We start from the raw sequence: 25411 nt of genomic DNA, 5'->3' as shown, positions 1-25411 counted from the left end.
TCACCAGCAGCTGCTCCTGAAGTCACAGAGTGTGAGGGCACCACTTCTATTATCTGGTCCAATCCTACTTTCATTGACAATGAGCAACACTGAGCTTCCATATAGCGTCAGCAGTAACACCAAGACCCTCAGACACTGTCCTGCCCCATCCTCTCTCAAACATCACTATAGAACATTTAAAGCTTCTAAAACAGACAAGGAGTGGGAAACTGGAATTTTAAAAAACTGATCCCAATTCTGCACAACTTTCAGCATTCAGAGGCAAAACTCTTTATTTCCTGTTTGTTTGTTTAATCTTCTCAAACATACTGAAAATATATCATTGCCGTGATTTTAATCTATTAAGTATTATCTGGGGAGAAACCCCAGCAAGATTTAATTTAAGGTCAAAGAACCAGGGAGTGGGGGAGGAGATGGAGAATAAGGGGAGGAAGACATTATCACTTGGGCACGTTCCAAAGTGGTTAATTACATTTTACCTGCCTAAATTATCTTGTTACTTTAATCAGATATGGTAATAATCTTCATTTCTTATCTCTGCTTGCTTCAGGACTGCTGATTCAATTACTCTCCCTTCTGTGTTAGTAATTGAAGGTTTGGTCAAAGTGTGGTTTCTCTTCACTTGTGCCTTCTTTAGAAGAAACCCCACTGAATGGAAAAGCTCAAATTCATAGAATACAGAAAGAAGGTTAGGAGAAGGAATAGATAATTTCTAGAGTTATTCATTTTCCAAAAAGACACTGTACAGAGTTCCTTTAATCATAAACACCCCTTGAGTATTTTAAATGATTTCATTTTCTTTAATTTCATTTTATGTACAATTTCTTAGAATCACAATCGCTGCATTAAAACAAGGCACATCTCTATTTCAAAATAAATATTCAGATATCAATTGGGATGCAGCTAGAAGCCATTGATGGAAGTATTTTTGTTTAGTGCTTCTCAAACTTGAATATGCAGACAAACCTCCCTGGGATCTTGTTAAAATGCAGATTTTGATTTAGTAGGTCTGGGGTGGGACCTGAGAGTCTGTATTTCTAACAAGTTCATGCCTCAGCTCTGCAAACCACAGTCTGAGAAGTAACCTCCAGGTGATTGCATGGTTCTGAGCCATTGGGTACAGGTGGTTTTGAGCATAAGAAGAGCTTAAAATGAGCCCTACTACCAGAATTATGCCCTTGGAGCTCATCTTCCTCTCCCCATTTCAGTTCAAGCCCATTTACATTTTTGAAAATACTAGACGAACCTGTCACCTGTGCCTTTATTTGATCATTTTAATTTATCTTCTATACTGGTCCCCATTCTTATCAAAACAATTCTACTTTCTTTTACCTTTCTTCTAGAAATCATTATCTAGCCTTACAACAGAAAATTTATCAGTAAGAAGATTATAGCTGTCAACTCTTCTTCCTGGCAGTACATTTAAAAAAACTGGAAGTTTTTTTCATCATTTTCCTATTTGTTCACATTCAATTTCCCTCCCCCTTCATGAGCATTTTAGAGTTTGCACTAATCACTTGCACAGTTGTTGGGTTCTATTAGGTTTAGAGATTAATGTGCCCCTTGTCTATCTGTCTTTCTCACTCTCCATGCCCCTCCCACATTGATGTACATATTTAGTCATTTCGTTTCCTATCAGAAGATGAACTCACTCATTCAACAATTTATTAAACACATGCCACATGCAAGGCAGTGTTTTAGACAGTGGGAATTATCAGTGGTGAGCCAGACAATGCACTTATGCATTGGCAGCTCTGGTCAACTGCTGACCAGGGAAGCAGGACAAAATGTGTATTTATAAGTGGGTGCCGGATTATTTGAAGCCTTGAAATGGTTTTCTCTCTCTCTCTTTTTTTATTTTTATTTTTATTTTTTTTGAGGCAGGGTCCGCTCTGTCACCCAGGCTGGAGTGCAGTGGCATGATCTCAGCTCACTACAGCCTCCACCTCCTGAGTTCAAGTGATTCTTGTGCCTCAGCCCCCCAAGTAGCTGGATTACAGGCATGCACCACCACACTTGGCTTTTTGTATTTTTAGTAAAGATGGGGCTTTGCCATGTTGGCCAGGCTGGTCTCAAAATCCTGGCCTCAAGTGATCTATCTGCCTTGGCCTCCCAATGTGCTGGGATTACAGGCTTGAGCCACCGCACCCAACCTTTTTTTCTCTTATAGTCTTTCCCTCAGAGAGTTCCTCTGTTCACATCTCACATCTCATCATGCTGGATATTCCCAAATCTATATTCCCAAATACTTCCAGGCCCATATTTTAAACTGATTTTATAAACACAACATGGCAAACCCACACTAACCCCTTCCCTTTCAAATCAAATCTCTTTCTTTTATTTTTCCATATGCGCAATGTCATCTGGATTACTTCACACAGCAAGTTCTAAATCCTCGTCTTCTCTGCCTCCTTCACTTCCTCAGTCAATGTATTATCAAGATCTGTTGATTCTTATTTCACAACATCTCACAAACTTGACTTTTCCTCCCATCCCAAATCTATCATCCCTCCAAGAAGTTCAACTACCAATGGTCTCTTCCTTTACTAAATTTGACCTGTACCCATTGATGTAGCCAATGATTCATGACTTTAATAAGTATTTATTATATATTTTATTGATGAAATGCCTTATGGGAGGTGCTGTAAATATTATAAAGAGCACTAATAGGAAGTCCTTCTGCTTAAATTCTGTATAATGTAGTTAATACCACAAATATATAGAACTTTATTATATACATATATTCTCTCTGCAGCTTAAAGTTTCATAATAATATATAACTCCATTGACTAATCAGGTAATTATGTTTTAATTACCCTGCTTGTAACACTACCAATGGAGGTAGGGATAAGCCCTTACCAAAAATAATACTGAGTGAGAAACCAGCATGTCCCCAGAATAATACCACTGCTGTGCTTGAGAGGCTCTGGGCTTTATGCATCCTAACAGTGGGGAACAAAGGTGATTAGAATGTGTGCTCTGTGGTTTGCTAATCATGGTGCTGAAGATCAAGAGTTTGATATAATTGTACTTACAGCTATTAAAAATACATATTACCCTCCAGTACTTAACATCTTCTCTTTGTTTAAAACACTTGCATTTACAGTTTTTGGATAAGATAATTTCTGGGAAATTCAAGTAGCACATTAGAGCAGAGCCAACTGGACTTGATTGTACTGCAATATCGCTGGATGGGTTTGCACTATTTTTGTGTTCCAAAAGGGACTATAAAGTCCCAGAGGATGATCTACTGTTTTGTACTTTCTACTGCAAATTGCTCATATCTAGACATTACATCATCTGCCTTCACATAACCACACCCTCCTCCAATACGGTACTAACTCTGCTCTGGTTGTGCACAGTTCTCGGTGGTCCACATGGCACTGATTTCAAACTGCCAAACTGACTCCCCTTCCAAGATCCCCTTCCAATCATTGCAACCCACTCATCTTATTCAGTTCTTCAAGAGCATCTCAGGGGACACTACCTCTATGCAGCCTTGCCAGTTTACACCAAATTTAGGTCTCCGTTTTCAAGCCATCTACAGCAAAATTCTTTTAAATCCCATATATTTCAATACTTTAGTATATTATCTCATGCTGCTTTCCACTTCTCACTCATGGGTTCCCATGCATAAGTCCAGCTCCCCAAAATTAATGCAAATTCAAATCAGAGACAAGACATTAGGAAGATCTTTTAATTGTGCTATTAATGTCTTCCCTGAATCTTACAATTGCACCTGCATTAGAATTAGATATATCAAGACTTTTTTCACATAATATATATGCTATAAGACCAAGGTGACTAACACCACCTAATTTGCTAGCTATGACTAATGATTTTTACATAAAAGTAATTTCACAATCTCTTCACAAATTCTAATTTTATACATCTGACTGATAATTACAGTATATAAGGGAACTTCTCAGCAATTCTTTGTCAGGCTCCTTTCAAAACCATTACCTTTCCCAGTGGCTACACACATTAGGGTCTTCAAGATTCAGAGGTGATGCTGTCCCAATCCAGTGGCATAACAATAAACAAATAAAGCTCAGGCATGAGTTCAAAGAAATAACCATTTTTTTCTGAAGAACAACCTACAAGAAAGAAAAAATCCCAATTAGAAATGCATTGAAATGACTCACACAGAATTCTTTTCAGTACAGCAACCACCAGGTACCAGTTGTCAGTGGGGCTGAAATGTGCATAACAAGCCATGTATTTCAATAGCCAGGTCACCAAATTCCATGGTCCAGGAGAGAGGGGTGTTTCTTATGTTGTGCAAGGTGGCTACTATTTTGTAAATTACTAAAATATGCAAATCATCATCAATTGCCACAAGAACAAAAGCCCTTCTCATTTATGCCAGCCAATATTAAAGAAATCTACCAGAACAATTCAGAGCAACACAAGCCTCCACATTCTCTCACCTGGCATATTTCCCTTCTAGAAGAGGAGGGCACACAGAGGTAGCTGGCCTCATTTGTTCTAGAAAATAAATGATGAAACAGAAGCTCCATCGAATCAAGAGAGAGGTACCTCAGGCTCAATCTGAGATTCATTTGATAAGTCACTCAATGCACTGAATGCCTGCTCCATCCTAGTCATCATTCAAAGACTGGATATAAAACACAGAACCAGTCCCTATCTCTGCCTGTTAAGATACTTATAACTTAGTAATCATGACATAAGTTTCTTAAACATAGTGCTTCAATTTCTCCATCTGCTGAACAGAAATGAAACCAAACATCTCACAGGGGTTTCTAAAAACTAGATTATACATAGAAAAAAATGTAAAGCTGTTTGCAGGTCGATGTTAGAGAAAATGAACCTAAAGACTGTAAAGTAACATTTAAAAGCTTGGAAAATAGATAGGCTGGCAAAGGAGATTGAAGAGGGTGAATGTTCCAGGCAGAGGGATCCACATGTAAGGGAGGGCCAGGTGCATTTAGGGAGTTCAAGTTAATTCATGGCAAGAAAAAGGGGACAGCTGGAGAAAGAGACAGAGGGTGAGTCGCAATGGGTTTCATAAGCCATTGTGCAGTAGGGAACTTCATCCAAGGATAACATGGAGCTAGTAAATGGTGCAGAGTGGCATTAGAAGAATGACTCTAGCTGCAAGGGGAGGCTCTTGGAGGGAGGCCAGGTAAGACATGACTGTGAGCAGATCAAGGCAGCAGCAATGGGGTTGCAGGAAGTGGAGTGGCTCTGGGAGATTTTTAGGATGCGGAATCGACAGGACTTGTCTATTGAACATGGATTAAGGGAGGGGAGGAGCTTCTGGTTTAGCCCCTTGTGGGGATTGTTAGCCCCTCGCTGATATGGGACTCATAGAAGCCCTCCTCTGGGGAGGGGAAGCTTTCAGTTCAGTTTAGATAGGTCAAGTTGAAGGTTCCTCTGATATCATCAAGCAAAGCCACCTACAAGCATTTATTGAACACATACGATATGCTAGGACCTGCGCCAGGCCCGGGTGTGTAACACCTGTAATGGTTTGCACCTGAGAATCACAGGCACTCCTGCAGCCTCTGGAATTTAGTAAGAAGGAAAAGTTTAATTGTCATACTATGTCATCTAATCATTATAAAAATGGATACAAAATTAGAAATCACTGATCCATTTCTTAATTACAAACAAAATAAGTGCCAACCTGCCTGTTGGTAAACTAGTGAAACTAGTAATAATGAGCCAGATTATTTGAGCAAAGCAGTGATTTTCTGGGTGGGAGCTGGCATTTTAAGAAGTTATACTCATTTTCCATGCCAAGAAGTTTTTAATATTTGGGAACCAAATGTATTGAATAATAACTTTATGGCTTGAAAAGGCAAATTTATCTTAAAATAAACAAATAAACAACAATAACAGCAAAAAACAAACAACTTTAGGAAATAGTTTATCATTCAAATTCAGGACAGATCAAATGAGGAAATATTAAATTCTTCAAAATCAAGATTCTTTAAGTATACTATGACAAGTTACCTATTGCTGACTCAACAAAGGCTAAAAGAAAATGTTTGACTTGGAATAAGGAAAAAATCATGAATTTGTAGTATAATTAAAAGATATTGTGTAAGCCATTAAAGAAGCTGTAAAATCTTAAAAAGGATATTTCAATGGTCACTAAATAATTCCAATAGATAAAGCGTAAATAGTTAACCAAAATTAACTTATAGATTAATTCAAATTATTGACATTTCTCACATGCATCATGAAGTTGTAAAATCTGAAGCTTAACATTATATAAAGAAGCTATTTCATTTAAGGGGAATGAATAAAAAATGATGATGATAATAATAAACAATAACAGATAACATTTCCTGACCGATTACTGTGTGCCAGACACAGTACTGAGCCATTTATGTGAATTATCTATGTAATCCTTACAGCAACTTAACTAAGAAGTAGTAGTTTTTATTGTCCCTGTTTTACAGTTGAAGCCGTGTAATATACAGCTAGTGTTTTCCTCATCCATCAAAAAAATCTTTAATATATTTGGCTGTAACAAATGAGCATGGCAATTATTTCCTTGTCTCATTGCTTTATCTATGTGAGAAGTATTTCCCTTCAACGAAGTGTGAAATGTGTTTAGCTTTCATTCTTTCCTCAAAGACATGAAGGCTGGTAAGCAGTAACCTACTCATAAACAATTACCCCAAATTGGAAAGTTTATTTCCTGAGTCATCTCAGACTCAAACCATCCATTTACCAATTAGAAATGTTTAGTCTATAAAGTTAGAAATTGTCCCAAGCCATGAATCAAAGTCCCAGAACAAGAAAGAGGTTGTGAGTTTTATTTTAATGTAAAAATATTGACACTAATCTTCTGGTTTCTCTTCTTGCTTTGTATCTGATGCATTGCCCTGTGAAGAGGAGATGACAGAGAAAAAGCAGAATTTGGCCACCTTCTCATTGCTTTGGAAGTTCAGTATACAGAAATATCAAACTGCATTGAAAAGTCGCAGGTACCATTTTTGAAAGAAAAAATATCAGTACATTGAAAAATATGTGTGTGTGTGTATATGTGTGGATGTATGTGTGTATTACTTGGTATCTTTGTCCCAATACGTTTTCCTAATTAAAATTAGAAAATTAACTGAGCTCTAGAATAGTCTGAAAAACCAAAAAGAATTGTTTGATCAAGAGGCAAGGATCATGCAAATTCACATAAGCTGGTTAAAACTGTTTGAGAAAATAACACAGATGTTATAGACGATGAGGAGAGAAGACATCTCACAAATATGCCAATAAGCTGTAGAGAACTAAGAAACACAGCATTTCTCTAAATTAGGAAACATGGATTGTCCTTTCATTCTATCTTGTTTAATAAAGGCACTGAGATGCAATCAAAATCAGAAGTTGATAGGACATTTAGGCCAGGCGTGGTGGCTCACTCCTGTAATCCCAGCACTTTGGGAGGCAGAGGCGGGTGGATCACCTGAGGTCAGGAGTTCGAAACCACCCTGGCCAACATGGTGAAACCCTGTCTCTACTAAAAATTAGAAGAAATTAGCCAGGCATGCTGGCAGGTGCCTATAATCCCAGCTACTTGGGAGGCTGAGGCAGAAGAATTGCTTGAACCTGGGAGGCGGAGGCTGCAATGAGCCAAGATCGTGCCATTGCACTCCAGCCTGGGCAACAGGAGTGAAACTCTATCTCAAAAAAAAAAAAAAAAAGAAAAGAAAAGAAAAGAAAAAAGCAGCAGATAGGGCATTCATTTACTTTTTCCCTATCTTCTTTGTTTTCTTCTATAGGTTTTGGTGAGTAAACATAGTGAGTACCCTTTTTCCACTATGCCTACTCTGAAGAAGGAAAGTCCAGTAAATTTATTCTTCCTCATTTCTCTCTTCTATGCTGTGTCATCCTGTCTTATAATTTTCCACTTTGGAATGCAAATGAAAACAAAATGCAATTTTTTAAAAATAGTATTATTTCAATTGAAAACAAAGGCAATGCAGTGGTGATTTGCTTCATTAAGATAGACATTTTGAATATATTCAAATCTCTAAATTGGGTGTTGGCTACCCTCACCCACTCAGACTTCCTCTTCAAATAACTTCCTTATGATTCCGTTTAACAAAATTTAAAATGTAAAAAAATAAAGAGTCATTTGCATGAACCCCCTAGTGCCAAACTTGATTGCATTTCAGATCATTCACTTAATTATTATGGAAAAATCAAAACAAAATCAGTACAACTGATTAGCATTGCTAAAGTGCTCCTATTAGAAAGGGAAACAGCCCACAGAGTTAACCCTTGCTGTCTGTGTTTTGCAGCTCCACTTGGAAGGCAAGCTTTGCTTATTCTACCACAAAAGCCTCAGTAAATAATCAGGATGAATAAAATCCTTACAATGGATGAGTCTTAGTTCTGATGATAAGCAGTAGTTTCTTTATCATTGAGTTAAAGAGAAATAAATAATGGGGTGTTGACTTACTAATTTATTTTTGAAACAACAGAGGGGAAAATTATTCCAGATGATTCCTTTTGGCTCCAAAATCTATTTTCTTCCTAGAATCAATTAAGTGCACACATAGAAATAACTTCGGTACCCTCAACCAGTTTTTTCTCAAGCTCATTTTCTGCTACTCACATATCGCTAAGATTCTCTCACATATCTCTAAGTTAAATTAAAACAAATTTATTGATTAAGAATAGCCACTTTTCAACAAGAGCCATCCATTTCACCTGACCACTCCATCGTGTTATCTATAAAGGATGTACTCACTGTTCCTCAAACTACTCAGAAAGGCCGGCAGAGGCAGTGTGCTAAGTTCTTCCTGGAGCTTTGAGGCCGTGAACAGAGAAGCAATGGTCCAGCTTCAGTGCATTAAAGATGTAGGATGAGTAATGCTTGCTGGTTGCCCTGAGAACAATCTCAGATGAGGACTTCCATGGAAATACTAGTTTGCTGATGAAAGGAATCCTTAAGGCATTAGCATGACTTCTCTGTTCACTGAGCAAGGCTAGTTATTCTAATAACATATTATCCAGGTATGACTATTCATTTCAAACAGTACAAGTGCTATATTTACTTTGTTTTGAGGGCTTCATGTCATTTTGCTAACATCAAACCCACAACAAGCATATTCTAAATCAAATTAAATCACATAATGGCAGGAACAGAGTATTCATTTAAGTTAAATGAGTGTGCCTACCAGCATTAATAAAAGAAAGGCCAGGTGCGGTGGCTCACTCCCATAATCCTAATACTTTGGGAAGCCGAGGTAGGAGGATGACTTGAGCCCAGGAGTTTGCGACTAGCCTCAGCAACATAGCAAGACCACATCCTTATTTAAAAAAAAAAATTAGCCAGGCTTGGTGGCATGCACCTGTAGTCCCAGCTACTGAGAGGGGTGGAGTATAGGGTGAGGTAGGAGGATCGCTTGAGCCTCGAAGGTCAAGGCTACAGTGAGCTGTGATTGTGGCACTGCATTCCAGCTGGGTGGCAGAGCAAGTCCCTGTCTTAAAAAAAAAAAAATATATATATATATATATATATACACACACACACATATATGTATATATATATATACACACATATATGTATATATATATATATACTCTCAAATCTGTTTATAAACTTAAAATGGTTTTATAAACAAGCCCCATCTCCACAAAAAAATCCCTAAACATTAGCATGAAGTGAAGTTTACTAATGGTTCTAATTCTTTGGGCACTTCACATCAAACAAAAACTGGGCAAGTCACTGACAATGTCCAGTGCTGAGCTATCCCGAAGGAGCTCACAGCCCCACATGGAAAATGGCCACAAACTGACCTATTCAATCAGCATGATGCACACCATGATTAAGACCAGAATAAGCTGCTATGGGAACAGAGACGTGGCCCTACCTACCTAAACAGCCAACCCCACGGTCATTATATAGGTGGTGTTAAGGGATAATTTGGGGAAGACCCTGGTAATTCACTCATCATCAGCTCTGGAAAATCCTCTACAATGTCTCTGTGAATCCATCACCCACAACATATGAGGGAAAAAATCTACAAACAATACTCATTAAAGATCTAAGGGCAAGAAACTATGGCAACTCCTGTGACTTGTAAAGCACAGTCTCTGCCCATAATAGCTTAAAATCTACTAAGGAAAAAATTATAATCAAAATATGATTATTTGCCAAATGAGTCCGTTTAGAGATGACTTGCCAGAGTTTTAAGAGGAGAGGAAGCCAACAAGAGCTATGAAGGCTCATGAAGAAAGTCAAACTTGAGCAGGGACTTGAAAAAGAAAGGAAACTAGAAATCACTGAGTGGCACCTCACACTAGCAATGAAACCTCACTGAGTCCACAGGAGAAGGTCTATTATCCCCATGCAGGGAATACTGAGATTAAATGTCTCCCTGGAAGTCAGACAATCAGGTAAGAGCAGATATACGAACAGGCCTGGCTGATGGCGACAATGCCTGTGACCAGCCCTCAGCATCACACCTGGATAAAAGGAAGCTTCTGAGTAAATAAAAACTCAAGGAGGGGCCACAAGGCAAAGAGAAAGATAAGAGCCAAGCCTTGAGGGTGGAGAGCAGAAGGTTTTATAACAGATTGTGAGAAGTAACGCTAGAAAGGAGGGTGGTGTTTGGTGGTGATAAAGGGCCTTCAGCACCAAGCTAAGGGGTTCAGTTTAATTCTTCCTCTCTGCAGTAGAATTTACTTGAAGTCTTTGAGCAAGGGCATTATTTGATGAAAGAGGTGTTTGGGAGATTAACAGAGAAGGTGTGCAAAAACCAACCAAGGGACCAAATCCTTTGGAGGCAAAGACAGAGTGTGGAGGTTACTGCACTCACGTGTGAAGTGGAACGACCTTCCTAGGGTGGTAGCCTAGGAATCGGAAGTATGTGAGAAACCAATGAGAGAAAGAATCAGCAGGACTGGGAGAAATAATAGAAATTATGGTAGAGATCAAGGAGAGCTGTTTTGGGTTTAAAGCATTCTGAATCCCCTGGTTATATATTCTGGGTTCAATCTGTTTATTTCCTACTGAGAAAACAAGTTACATCTCTTTTTTATTAGAGAAAGAAACTTCAAACACTATTTCTTGTTCCAAACTTTGATGAATAAAATCATATTTATTTTTCCAAATTTGTCATAATTTGATACACTTCAATAACATCCCTACTCATTCTTCTCAACCTTAAGAGTCTTAATTTTCCTGGCCTGTCCACCAAAATAAAAGCCCTCTTAGCGTTTTTATAAAGTTCACTCTTTTTTTCCTCTTTTTTTCAACGCTGCTACAGCAACCATAATTATACCCTATTATTGTAGCCAGCCTCCAAGATGGCCTCCAATGATCCCTGCCTGTGTAAGCCCTTCTCACAATGAATAAGTGGGCTTCTATAACCAACAGAATATTACAAAAATGATAAACTTCCAAACTAGGTCATAGAAGGCACTGAAATTCCCATCTCACTTCTTTGAACACCATTTCACAGGAAGCCAGCTGCTATGATATTCGGATGCTCAAGCAGCCATATGGAGAGACCAACACAGTAAGGAACTGAGGCCTCCTGCTAACAGCTGTGTGAGTGATCCATCTTGGGAGTGGATCCTCTAGCCCCTGTTAAACCTTTAGATGACTGCAGCCCTTGCTAACATACTTATTATAAACTCATGAGACCCTGAGCTAGAACCACCAGCTAAGCTACTCTCAACTTCCTAGCCCACAGAAACTGTGAGTAATAAATCTTTGTTGCTTTAGGCCACTAATTTTTGAGTTCATGTGAAGCAGCAATATATAACCAATATGCCTATGTTTAAGTATGTCATACCAAAATTAGTTTTACTTCCAAAATACCTCCTAATAATGCCCATCATTTCATTGGCATCTTTAGTAGCATTAACATACAGAAGTAACCACCTGCAATGATTCTGAAATCTTTTCTCTACATTGTAACTCCTGGCAAGAGCTCATCATCTTCTAATCACAGTTTGAGTTATTTTGTGCCAAGGGGCATAACCTCACAATGCCTGTACTTTGAGGTACATCTGCTATTCTTCCACACAGGGCACCATCCCAGATTATCTGGCCATTTAGGCATAGTCATCTAGCATGTGACTTTCTAGAAGAATTGACCTGCCTCATCATAACTTGGAGAGTTCATCATGTGCTGTGTGTAGGTCACTTATAAAATATTAAATAAATGAATTTCAGACTGTTCACTGGGTTACTTTTTCATCTACAAATAAATGTTTCTTTTATTTTTCCGCACTTGGGCTACTTTTCTATGATTATCCCTGATCAGTAATAAATAACAATTTAATTTTTTAAACTTTTTATTTTAAAATAATTTCAAATTTACTTGAAAGTTACAAAAATACCACAAAGAATGCCTGTGCATATACATATATATATGCATATATATGTATATGCAATGTGTGTGTTTGTGCGTATGTATATATATATACACACATTGTATGTGTATACACACATTGTGTAAATATATATATACACATTATATATGTTTTTTGTAATCATTTAAGGGTAATTTGTGCACATTAGGCTCCTTTACTTCTAAATACTTCAGTGTGCATTTCCTAAGAATAAGGACATTTACTTGTATAATTATCATACAATGATACACAAAAAATTTAACATTAATGCAATAGTACCAATTTAATCCATAGACCTAATTCAAATTTCATCAGCTGTTGTAATCATGTGATTACTTTAACAATTTTTCACATGGACACTTTTCAAATGCTTTGCCAATGAACAAACATTTGTTATTTCAACCAGCAAACACTGGTGAAGGCCATGTTTACCCTCAAAGAATTAACAATCTAATGTGAGAGTAGTACCACGTAGATGGTAATGACTGGGCAATGTAAAATGTGATTAGGGTCAAAGGAGGATTACAAAACATGTATGGGCATTCAGAAAGCACTTACAACCAGTGAATGGGGATAACAGATAGCATTATTGAAGACTCCACAGAAAAGGTCTTTAAGAAACTTTTTGCTGGGTAGATGGAGCAGTATAGGCAGAGGAATCAGTAAGAGCGAAGGCAGGAGAAAGTGAGTGCTCAGAGGAAAGGCAAAGAGGCAGGATTGTTTGAAGCACAGTGTGAAAGTGAGTGGGAAAGGAAGTTTAGGGCCAGATCAGGAATGGCAATGAATATTATGGCTTGAGATTTACTCAAGGTGAAACATCCAAACACCTCATGAGACTTCAGGCAGTTCAACAGTGAAGGAATCTGAGAAAAATGACCCAGAAAATGGAACATGATCAACCCAGGAGGAAAAGAAGACTTAGGGCTTTTTTTTTTTCTTTTAACCTAAAGCATTATTATTTTTTTTTTTTTGCAAAAGCGCTAATTGAAGAAGCTGAAAGATTTCCACTTTGACCAATCCTCTGATGATACAAGCAGGGGAAAAAATCCAATCATAACAGAATAAATGACAAAAGAAGGCAATTTCCTTGAGAAAAGAAAAGTCAAATTATAATAAGGAGAAGGAGGAGCAAATATAATTCTCTGACATGTAGCAGGGTACTTGAGCATCATCAGAATCTTCAGTCTTTCCCTTCCCATGGTAGGGGGAGGACAGGGACACTGAGAGGAAGCCTGAGTACAGGCAAGGTCCCTCTCTCGGGAAGATCCTTTTCAGTGGTGTCTGCAGCAACAGTCAGAAGGATGCAAACAGATATTCTGCCCCCATCACTGGCATGACAACGGGCACCTACATGTCATCTGCTCTCCTATCTTTGGGTCATTAAGCTGACCTTCAAATACTGAAGCACTCACTATCAGGACACAGATGAGCAATCCAAGTTAAGCCTTCCTTTCCTCAAAGGTCAAAAGAAAACCCCATAGAGGAACAAAGACCTTATGAGGAAAAGAATTTCTGTAAAACCAAAATCTTAGAAAATTTTCCTGTCAACTAAATCTATCCAGATTCCATTAAGGCAAGCATGAGCACACACATGCATGAACACGCACACACACACATACACACACACATACACACAAACACACCCTGAGCATTCCTCTAACAGGATACAGAAATTTGAGTTTTTAAACATTTACTTGGCTCCCAAGAGTTTCTAGAGCAATACATATGTCCAGAATCCAAAGAGCTCTTGTGTAAGAAATAGTAGAACAGAATGTTAGAGTTGAAGGCCTTCATGGAGTCCAATCAAAATCCTTTCATTTTATGGATAAAATAATAGAAGGTCAAGTTAAGATGACTTGGCCATGATCACAGAGCTCATTTGTAGGTGGCTCAACACTAGAACCCAGAACTCAGTTCTCTTAACTTACAGTCAAATCACCTGTCCATCAGGTAAAACAGTCTCAGTCTTTCTAAAATAACACTTCACCTGTGTATTGTAGCAATAAACGCTTCTTGGAATGCATATTCACTAAAAGTTAGATACTCTAAGAGACTAAGCTACTTCCTGGTCAAAACTGAATATGTGAATTGGAAAGTACAAAAGATATTTCCATATTTACACTGTACAGATGTTTTGAATAATCAGTGACATTTGTGACTCAGCTGCCATTCTTCCCAGTGGACTCAGTTCTGAACCACTAACCCAGACCAGGAAGCAGAGTGACCACAGGTATCTCGCAGCAGGCATTGCCACAAAAGAATCTGAACACATTTATCCTCATGGTTTTAAGCCCACATTGTCAAAGGCTTTGAAGATTTGAGGCAAAATGCGAGGAAACTGCTGAGGAAGTATAAGTAGGTAAAAGAATGTCAGTATTCAAAGCTGCATTTGGTCAGGACATTCAGGAGAAAATGCTTGGGCAGCCTCACCTCCCACTTCCACTTCCTGGCCAATCGCATATGTATGCAAATATACAAAGCCACAACCCAAATCCCATCTTTATGACTCTTAAAATGGGGCTTTGTTTCAGTAGATAAAGTGCCACATGCTGAATTAGCAACACCACTTCCTGTGGTATCTAGACTGATCTTTCACTCAAGAAATGACCCTGTCTGACCCTAATGGTTGGAGAACAATCTCATATTGTTAGGAAATCGAGTGTCATTTTCCATATTACTTCCTTCATTCACATCATCCATAATTATCTCTTCTAATTTCCCTGTGTCTCCTGGTTTGTCCTTCCCTGCCATTTTTAGTGAAATTCAGGACCTGATGCCATGGGGGCAGGTGGAGACAATGACAGGGGTAAATTCTAGTCTGATGCAGCATCAAACTGATCACTCACAGGTTACTGGCTCCCTCTCTGTTTTATTTCCTTTTCAGAAACATCAGTCAGGAAAGCAGCTTTCATGGCAAGCAAACTTATAATGAGAGTGATATTTTCTCTTTGCTTTTCTTATAAACCTCCAGAATGCCTAAGATTCATCGACTTTTGTGTGAACATAGCCTTTAGCAGAAAGCTGGTCCAACACTCTAATTTTACAGATGATGATGCTGTGGTCTGGAGATATTAAAAGTATGCCCAAGGTCACAAAGCTATTTTCTAAATGGCTTCTCCTTAGGCCACTATTAAGCCAAAATTCAAGATCCTGTCAGTCTGTCTTGCCCAATAATACGAATTGCTATACGCAAAGATAATAAAGATGCAATTACTTTCTTTCTGTGGCTGATGCCACTGTTAATAGGGTACAAATATAGAGATAATTGGCCCTAGGGTGCTTATAAAAGTTTAACAGTAAAAAATTGATTAGTTAGCCAAAGACTTTAATAAGGCAACTTGTGAGTGCTCCTTTTCATTCCCAGGAGGAAGAGCTCGCAGTGAATTATGTCTACTCAATCTATGCATCAAAGGAGCAGATTAGATACAAGCATGGTAGAAGTTTTGCCAATGGCCATGTGAAAGAGCTGATGGAAGGTAAACTGACATCTCCTAATTTCCTCAGTGCAATGATGCCTTCTTTTTTCTCTGCAGTATCCTCAGTACCTAAAACAGCACCCAGCACAGCAAATGAATGAATGAATCTAAACAAAGACATAGAGACGAGTCCACTATGTAAATCTGAACAAATATTTTAAGAAAAGAAAAACTAGTTTAAAGAAGAAAAGCAAGGCCAGGCACAGTGGCTCATGCCTGTAATCCTAATACCTTGGGAGGCCGAGGTAGGTGGATCACTTGAGGTCAAGAGTTCAAGACCAGACTGGCCAACATGGTAAAACCCTGTCTCTACTAAAAATACAAAAATTAGCCAGGCATGGTGGCAGATGCCTGTAATCCCAGCTATTTGGGAGGCTGAAGCAGGAGAATCACTTGAACCCGGGAAGCAGGGGTTGCAGTGAGCCGAGATCATACCACTGCACTCCAGCCTGGGCAACAGAGCCAGACTCTATCAAGAAAGGAAGAGAGAAAGGAAGGGATGGAGGAAGGGAGGGAGGGAGGAAGGGAGGGAGGGAGGGAGGGAGGTAATGAAAGAGAGAAGGAAAGAAAAGGGTTTGGAACAAGATTTAGAATTGGTGAGTTTGACAAATAAAAGTTTATTGAAAAATGTATATTTCAAGTCACAGGTTTTTCAGGAATTAGCAATTTTTATATACCATTAGGCAATTGTGCATTGCTTATGTACCGTAAAAATATTCTCTTCTGTTATTTTTTAAAAGTTCTGGGAAAGGAGTTTGAGTTTGTTTGTTTGTTTGCAATTGGGCATACATAGTTTTACAACTTTTATAGGCTTACCAGCATTTTAGTTTTTCCTCCCCTCATTCTCAGCCAATTACGTTTGATCTGCTTATTGGCAGTGTTTTTCATTAACCTATTTTTTTTATGTTTAAGTCAATTTTTCAATGGCAAGATTGTTGGAGAGTTCTCATCTCTTACTTCATGCATTTTTAAGCTTTGTATATTCTAGGATGATTTTACAAGTTTTTAAAGCATATCATCTGGCTACTTCATCTGCTTTTCAAAGTTCTTGTAGATGCATTTTTAGCCAGTGATGCCAACCATGGCTACTTGGTATGTTCCCATGATTTAAAACTGTTTATCATTTTTTATCTTAGCAAAAACTTCTATCAGGGATGAGGAAATGGCCACTTTTTTGGTTGGATATTCCTGAAAACATCATCAAGTTTTTATCCCTCAGTTTGACTTTTTACTGTAAAGATACAATGGGTGTGTTAGGTCAGGCTGCTACAACCTAGTGCCATAAACCGGGTGCCTTAAAAACAGCAGAAATTTATTTCTCACAGTTCTGGAGGCTGGAAGTCCAGAATCAAGGCGCTGGCAGATTCAGTGTCTGGGGAGGGGCTGCTTCCTGATTCATAGATGGTACCTTCTCCTTGTGTTCTCACATGGTGCAAGGCGCAAGGCAGCACTCTGAGGTCTCTTTTATAAGGGCACTAATCATATTTACTGATCCCATTACTGAGAGCAAAGTTTCAAAACCAATGTCAAGAAACACTAACTTTGACTAGTTTTTCAGTTTGATCAGTTCATCCTTTTTACCAATCAACTCAATTCCTCCTCCACACTGTCACCAATGCTTTAAAAACACAAGTCAGAACATCACACTCCCCCCTCACTTTTTTTTTATTACACTTTAAGTTCTAGGGGGTACATGTGCACAACATGCAAGTTTGTTACATATGTATACATGTACCATGTTGGTTTGCTGCACCCATTAACTCATCATTTATATTAGGTATTTCTCCTAATGCTATCCCTCCCCCATGACAGGGGACACATGACAGGCCCTGGTGTGTGATGCTCCCCACCCTGTGTCCAAGTGTTCTCATTGTTCAATTCCCACCTATGAGTGAGAACACGGGGTGTTTGGTTTTCTGTCCTTGTGATAGTTTGCTCAGAATGATGGTTTCCAGCTTCATCCATGTCCCTGCAAAGCACATGAACTCATCCTTTTTTATGGCTGCATAGTATTCCGTGGTGTGTACGTGCCACATTTTCTATGTAGAAAGCTGAAACTGGATCCCTTCCTTACACCTTATAAAAAAATTAATTCAAGATGGATTAAATGTTAGACCTAAAACCATAAAAACCCTAGAAGAAAACCTAGGCAATGCCATTCAGGACATAGGCATGGGCACAGACTTCATGACTAAAACACCAAAAGCAATGGCAACAAAAGCCAAAATTGACAAATGGGATCTAATTAAACTAAAGAGCTTCTGCACAGCAAAAGAAACTACCATCAGAGCGGACACGCAGAATGGGAGAAAATTTTTGCAATCTACCCATCTGACAAAGGGCTAATATCCAGAATCTACAAAGAACTTTAACAAATTTACAAGAAAAAAACAAACAACCCCACACTCCCCTTCTTAAAAGCTTTTGAGAGCTTGCCTTTTAGGTAAAATTCAAACTGGCATTTAAGACTCAAGATATCTGAGTCCAGCCTCATCACTCAACAAACTCATGTATATGTCGCTTGAACAATTCTCAGGTACTTGATTTTCCCCAAACATTAGAGGTTTTCACTCCTCTGTCTTCGCCCATGCTGTTCCTTCTTGGAATGCCCTTAACTATCTGCTCAACTTAATTCTCACTCATTCTTTAAGGATCAACTGTCACTTTCTTTTAGAAGAGCTCCCTGGCTAACCTTGTCATTCTTCTTCTTTGCTCCTGTAACACCCTGAAACATCCCAAGAGTAGCTGATGTGTTCTTCGTCAGAGTAGTAACACACACCACACCGCTCATCTCTCCACTAGCTACCAGACTCCTTAATGTCAGAATGGTACACTGTTCATCTCTACATGTTCTTGGTATTCTTGAATGAATGTATGGCCCACAGGAAAAATAAAGCTCAGAATATGCAAATCACTTGTTCTGGAACCCTGAAATCATTATTCTTAATATTTAAAAGGCAGAAATGGAAGGTCAAGATTATCATTTAATTGCTAATATACAACTGCAGTGGAAAATCCTAGAGTTGAAACAAAATGATTGCAATACCAGTGATTACAAATATGAAAAAACACTGAAAGTTTTGTTTGGGGGATATTTGTTTTAATTAGAGATAAAAAATATGTAGTCTCTGAAAAGAACGTATGGGCACTTTCAATGGCTTAATTAATAGTTAATCATTCTGTAAATTCATTTAAAGCTTAAGGCTTTCTACTCATTAGCCTTCCTGTATTGTCAATAATTGGACCTGCTCAAACATGGCTGCATTGGTGATGATTCTTGCAGGCATGGTATTCATATCAGCTGAGGGCAAGGTGAGGTGACTATGAGCAAACATTTGACAGCAGCAAGGGAGCATCCAGGAGGGGCTGGGAGTCAAGCAGCAGAAGCCAGCAGGAAGTAATAAAGCAAGATAAGGAGGCAGAGCAAAGGTGCAATGGCACCAAACTTATATGGCAGACTTTTGTTGCACTAAAGCGTCTTCTGAAGTGTTGCATCTCCATTGATAAAAAGCACAATTCCTGGGGCCTGCCTGTGGGCCTGGTACAGGGACCCATTTCAGCAAACTTCACCAGAAAGAACAATGTGTGGGAATATACCCTAGGATGAACCTTCAGTAATTAGCAGATTGCTACGGTCTACAGCAACTGAAAGACTGCTCTGCTTCAACATGTTCTTAGAGTGTTAGATTAGCACACTTTAGAAAATAAAAAGATTTTTATTACAAAGTGATTCAAAATATATGCTTGAAATATAGACAGAAAGAAAAAGGGTTATTTTGTTTTGGTTTGTTTTTTTAAGACAGGGTCTCACTCTGTCACCCAGGCTGGAGTGCAGTGACACAATCACAGCTCACTGCTGCCTCAACCTCCCAAACTGAATGGATCCTCTCACCTCAGCCTCCTGAGTAGCTGGGACTACACATGCATTCCAACACACCTGGCTAATTTTTGTATTTTTGTAGAGACGGGTCTCATCATATTGCCCATGCTGGTCTTGAACTCCTGGGCTCAAGCAATTCACCTCTATCAGCCTCCAAAAGTTCTGGGATTACAGCCATGGGCCACCACGCCCGGCAAGATTCATATATTTTTAAGTTTTAATTTTGAGAAGGAATTAAGATCTGTGATGGTCTTTGATGAAGGTCACATTGTGATTATAAATTTTAAAATATATTAATGGACCCCAAATGTACATAAGTGTTTGTATATTACCTAAATAAGGCAAGAATTTCCTTTATGCACAGGTGGGCATAAATGCACACCAAGTATAATGTTAAAAATAAATACATAAATAAACTGGAACATTAATATCAAGATAATTACAGTTTTTATGGGGAAAAAACCTTTAATTTTAAGCAGGTTCTGATAACTCTTTAAGGGCAATTTGAACTAAGGAAGCTAAAGGTTTTTGAACTAACACTGAGTTCTGAACTCAGCAGGGCCACAAGCTTTGCAATCTCTGACATTTTCCTTAATCTCTTCTGTTCTTGTCCTCATCAAATGTCATTTCCCTGTTGCCTTTATTATAAATTCTCTCCCTCAGCTCCTTTTTTTTAAGATTCAAAGTCTTTAATAGCAGTATCTTCATTTTACTGCAAATATTGGAAACAACAGCAGCCAAAAGCACTTAAAATTAAGTGCACCCCATCACAATGAATACATTCATTTCCTTCTTATAAATACAGTTTCCATAAACTATATTACTGTCATTTGTTCAAGATTTTAAACTTCCTAATCATTTAACTTAAACAGGAAAATAAAATCTAATGAATGTAAACCATACATGAAGAATATCTCAATTGAAGAATCTATGAAGGGTAGAAATAGTTCCTGCCTGGAATATATTTTTCATATCCCGCTAATTTGAAAGAGCCTATGATTCATTCCTAAAATTCCCTTAGTCCAACATGTAAGCCTCCCTAATTGTTTGAAATTCAAACCATTACATAAGCTTTCTGTCAACTTACTTCTCTCTTTGCAATAATTTATTTTCTCATCCAAGATCTACTTAACAGTGTGTTCAGGACATAAGTAAAAATTCTCTAGTCTTTTCACTAGAAACTGCATAGAAATCTCTAACGGAACCAACTCTCCACATCCTTCATCTGATATTTCTCCATTGCCTTGGGCTGCTGGTCATCTTTTGACATAACCAATCCCACCTCTTCAACTAGACTGTTGGGTCCTTGAAAGCAGAGCCCATGGTTTTGTCTTGTCTCCTATTCTACTCCTCCCTGACTTCTACTTCTCTCCCCATCTGCAAGAATATATAGATGATCAATATACGGTTGCTAAGTAAGAACAATACCAGGATCTATAAAGTCATGAAACATTAAAGTATATTGAGCACTTGAGGAGAGTCAAGAGATCATATCCTGTGAGTCCCAGACAACCGATCCAGAGGGGTGAGGTGGGAGAGAAATAACAGAGTGGGATCCATAACTGGGGAGAACAGATGCCTCAGCAGGCAGCCTGGGTAACTGAGAAACAATCCCTGAAGTGACCTATTCCGCCAGGAGGTGGCGCTTCAGCTCAGGGCCGCCCTTGGTTGGCCAACTTTCCACTTCATCTTCAAGGCATCTCCCCGAACCTACAGAAATATCTCCCCACCAGCAATGGAACCGAAAGTAAAACATGAGGTGTATCATCCCAGAAAGTCTTGCCCTTCTTAGGAAAAACTATAAGGAAGTTATTCTGAATCTTATTTAAAGAAAAGCTTTACTTTTTCAGCAATTGAATAATCCTGAGGGAGGTGTCTGCCTGACCACAAGTCTTCCCCAATGTATCTGGGAGTTCTCACTTTTAGATACAAGGTGTATATAGGGGTGGTTTCTTAAAACAAATTTTAATGTGGCAAAATCTGAGTCTGTACATTGCTGATTTTACATTTAGCAAGAAACATGTTTAACATCAATGGAGGAAAAGGTTGTCTAAATGGATAAAGGTAGTAAAAAGTGAATTGTAAATATTGTTTCAGACGAGAAAACAAATATGAAGTGCCATAAAGGTTAGTACTGTTTTTATATGTGTCCGTGCATATAAGTGTGTACAAATGTTAAATACACACAAATTACATTTTAGGCTAATCGGATGAGTAGGTTAAGTTTATGCTTTATTAACACAAGAATTGAAATTATAATTAAATCTTGATTCTTCTCCATAAATCATATGCTTTATGGGTCAGGTTAAGAGAATCTAGTCAACTACAAATTCTCTTGGAGGTACCCTGAAAACTCAGAAGTATGCATTTGGAGAAAGATAATAAAGCAATAATCTTACAAAGTGGATCTATGGCTACATGGAATTAGAAACAAACAAAAAAATTATCTCTGGGATATAGATGTGGCTTCCAAATCTACACGATCCCATAGAGCCGTGTCAGAAAGACAGCCATCCTTTCCCAAGAGCCCCAGGGTCACAGAGAACCAGCCTTCACAATCCAGGAAGAGCTAAAGAGAAAGTTTTCAGCTGTGTGTTCTTGCTGTTGAGAACGTATACTTTTTCTACCTGTCCCAAGTCATTAAATTCTTAGATTAATTTCCTTTAATGATGAGCCAGATTCATGTTCATCATTTAAAAAGAAAGAAAAACAACCTTAATGAAGACATTTGCCTTAGAAACTGCCACAATCAAAGACAGACCTTTTCAGATGTAATTAAATTTTTTTCAAGATAATTTATCTTATTAAAATATGGTAATTTACCATGGTTTCAGGTTATCTGAAACCTTTCTAAGATTGAAAGCTATAGTTAATTTCTTGCTATAAGCAGTAAAATTGAACCTAAGAGAGTCAGAGAACATTTTACATTTACAAAAGCACACAAAAGCTAAAACTGTTTATTTATATCCAAGGTACTTATAGGAAACTGGTTGTACCCCAGGATTCTGCATATGGTTTGGTATTGGAGTGCAAAGCACAACCCAGAAAGAACATAACTGTCCTGGCTAAAAGGATCCAACCTTCCCTCTGAGGCATCCTTGCTGATAAGAACTTCAGAAGAAAGTCCTTACAGAGATGTAAGTTTTTACCACATCAGTATGCCCAATTCAAAACTCTGTGCGATTGGGGGTTTAATGAAGCACTTTGTTATTCTCTGAAACAAAAATGAAAAAATAGAGACAGTTCTTCAGGCTTAATCACCACATCTGTTATTAGGCCCTTTACTGTGATTGACTGGAGTGTATGTCGGACACGGTGCCAAAAAGCTCCCCATAAAAGCAGCTTCCTGCTCACTGCCTGAATGGCATTGGTCTCTGTTATGACCAGGATTTATATGGCAAACAAGCAAAGCCTGGTGCCCACAAGCCACTGTGCCAGCCGAAGGCACTTTTTCCTGGTGCCAGTTAAGATAGAAGTGGGACCTGGGCTGCTTGCTCTGACTTCCATCCCTCTTTGCCTTCTCTCCCTCCTTCAAAACTGACCATGCTTCCCTGGAGACCATGAAAAGGAGGCACAGTGAGAGAGGAAGGAGCAAGGCGAGACGAGGTGGGGGCTGAGCTGTGGTTTTGTTAGGATGCCTACTTGCACACATTAAAATTAGGAGTTGTGATGGGATGCTGCTGATTTAAAGCATTTCCTAGCTCCTGCGGTAATTATGACTTTTTAAAGTGCACGCAACACTGAGAAGCTGGCTTCTCTGGATATCTAGTCCCTCAGATGATTGAGGCCCTGTGAATAAAAATGATTCTTTTTGAAGACCATCACCAAACGAGATTTCAGGAATTTAACGTTGCATTCTGTAACATGCATATTAGAGAAACTTACTGCCAGCCTTCCTTGACATCAGTAAAACTATTCTCCGACTTCTTCAAGCCTATACATAGGCGAGTGAGGGATCTACTAATTAAACTACAGTTCATTTGAAAAGAGTTCTCTTTATGAAGTATGTCATCATTCAACTTCTTAAAACTGCAAATTCCAGACACAGTTCTCTGTATTCCTGAGTCAAGTTACTGTGCAGGCAGCAGCACAGGGACAATTATTGGCACACAAAACCATTTTTCATACCAGACGTACAAGCATAAAAGCAAACACCTCACATCTGAACACATGCTGGGTAGGAAAATACTCAAATACTCACCTAACTCAAAACTGTCTGTCTAAAGTAAACAGCAGCCCTATGGCTCAGAAGTCCACAGCTGTGACATAAGTAATGAGAAAAGACTAAAACTTACATAACATTTAAATATATTCTTCTGGAACTGCCAAGTGTAAAGAAGAATGTCCTTCAGGCTGTCTCTGTATTTAGTTTGCTCTTCAAGATGAGATTGTATGAATTTATGATGTACTCCCCAGTTGCTTTTTTATACTAAGCAATATCTGTAGTGTTTGGATGTGTAGTCACTATTAAATGGTGATTTTTGTACACAGAATATAATCCAGAAATAATAGTGAGTAAAGTATGAGAAACTGGCAGGGAGGAAAAGGATTTTCAATTAGAAGCATTTTACCAACACTTAATAGAAATAAGAGGAATATATTGTGTTTTCTAAAAGGGAATGAACATTTATAAAAAGTCACTGTCTATATACTTGGAGAAGTTTCAGGCATGGAATATTATGTCTTTGGGAGGGGGACTGAGGTTCCTTAGAGGTTCAGCTAGGGGCCTGCTCACTTTTCAGCAATCTTTCCAGCCTGAGGACAAAAGGAGGGTGCTTTAGGAAGTAGATCTCAGCCTTCTTAGACAAATGGCAGTCCAGTTTGGTGTCACAGACTCCTTGCAAGTCTTGATTGCTAAAGAACCCACTCATATGCCCCAGACATTCTGAAACCTGCCCTTTCTCTCCTTAGCCCCTATACTACAAATGATTGAGGCTATTTTCAAACTAAGCCTTTCCCTCACTCCCTCTTTTCTTTTTATCCATAAATGAGCCTTTGTGATCTCCCTGAGAAGAAGAGAAGAGAATGATAGAGCATGGTGAAAGTGGAATCAACCAATTCCCAAGTAATAAAAAGGCCACTCTCCAAACAAGTAAAAAAGAGACATCTCAGAGCAAAATCCCTTCAAAGAGAAATTTCTACAAGTAATGGTTTTTGTGGTATTACAGAGAAAGGGGCTATCCTTAAAAAAAATCTAAAAGCAATTGGCAATGATTCTTGGATATGATACTAAAAGCACAAGCAATAAAAGAGAAAACAGATAAACTGAACTTCATCACAATTTAAAAATTTTTGCAACAAAGGACACTATCAACAGAGTGAAAACACAACCCACAGAATGAGAGAAAATATTTGTAATACATGATAAAGGATCAATATCAACAATATAAAAAGAACTCCTACAACATAGCAGTAACAAAACAGACAACCTAATTAAAATATGGGCAAATAACTTGCATAGACATTTTTTAAAAGAAGATATACCAATGGCCAATATGCACATTTAAAAAAGGCCGTATCACTAATCATTAGGGAAATGTAAATCAAACCACAATGCGATAACTTCACACTGATTAGGATTGCTATTATCACCCCCTCCGAAACAAAGAAAGAAAGAAAGAGAGAAAGAAAGAAAGAAAGAAATAAAGAAAGAAGGAAAGAAAGAAAGAAAAAAAGAAAGGAAGGAAGGAAGGAAAGAAAGAAAGAAAGAAAG

The 25411-nt window shown here is 38.3% G+C and overlaps 1 protein-coding gene across 6 annotated transcripts in view; it reads right to left on the bottom strand.

Moving 5' to 3' along the window:
- Nucleotides 1–25411, bottom strand: part of MEGF10 (multiple EGF like domains 10) — a 231923-nt gene that overhangs the window by 125835 nt on the left and 80677 nt on the right. For all 6 annotated transcript variants that reach the window (XM_017009987.2, XM_011543694.1, NM_032446.3 and 3 more), the window contains one exon: nucleotides 3964–4097. In XM_017009987.2, coding sequence (XP_016865476.1) covers nucleotides 3964–4097 — 134 coding nt within the window. The remainder of the gene's footprint in view (nucleotides 1–3963; nucleotides 4098–25411) is intronic.

The sequence above is a fragment of the Homo sapiens genome, chromosome 5 (genome assembly GCF_000001405.40).
Source record: "Homo sapiens chromosome 5, GRCh38.p14 Primary Assembly".
NCBI lineage: Eukaryota > Metazoa > Chordata > Mammalia > Primates > Hominidae > Homo > Homo sapiens.
The sequence above is the reverse complement of the archived record's forward strand: the minus strand, read 5'-3'. Positions and strand labels throughout refer to the sequence as shown.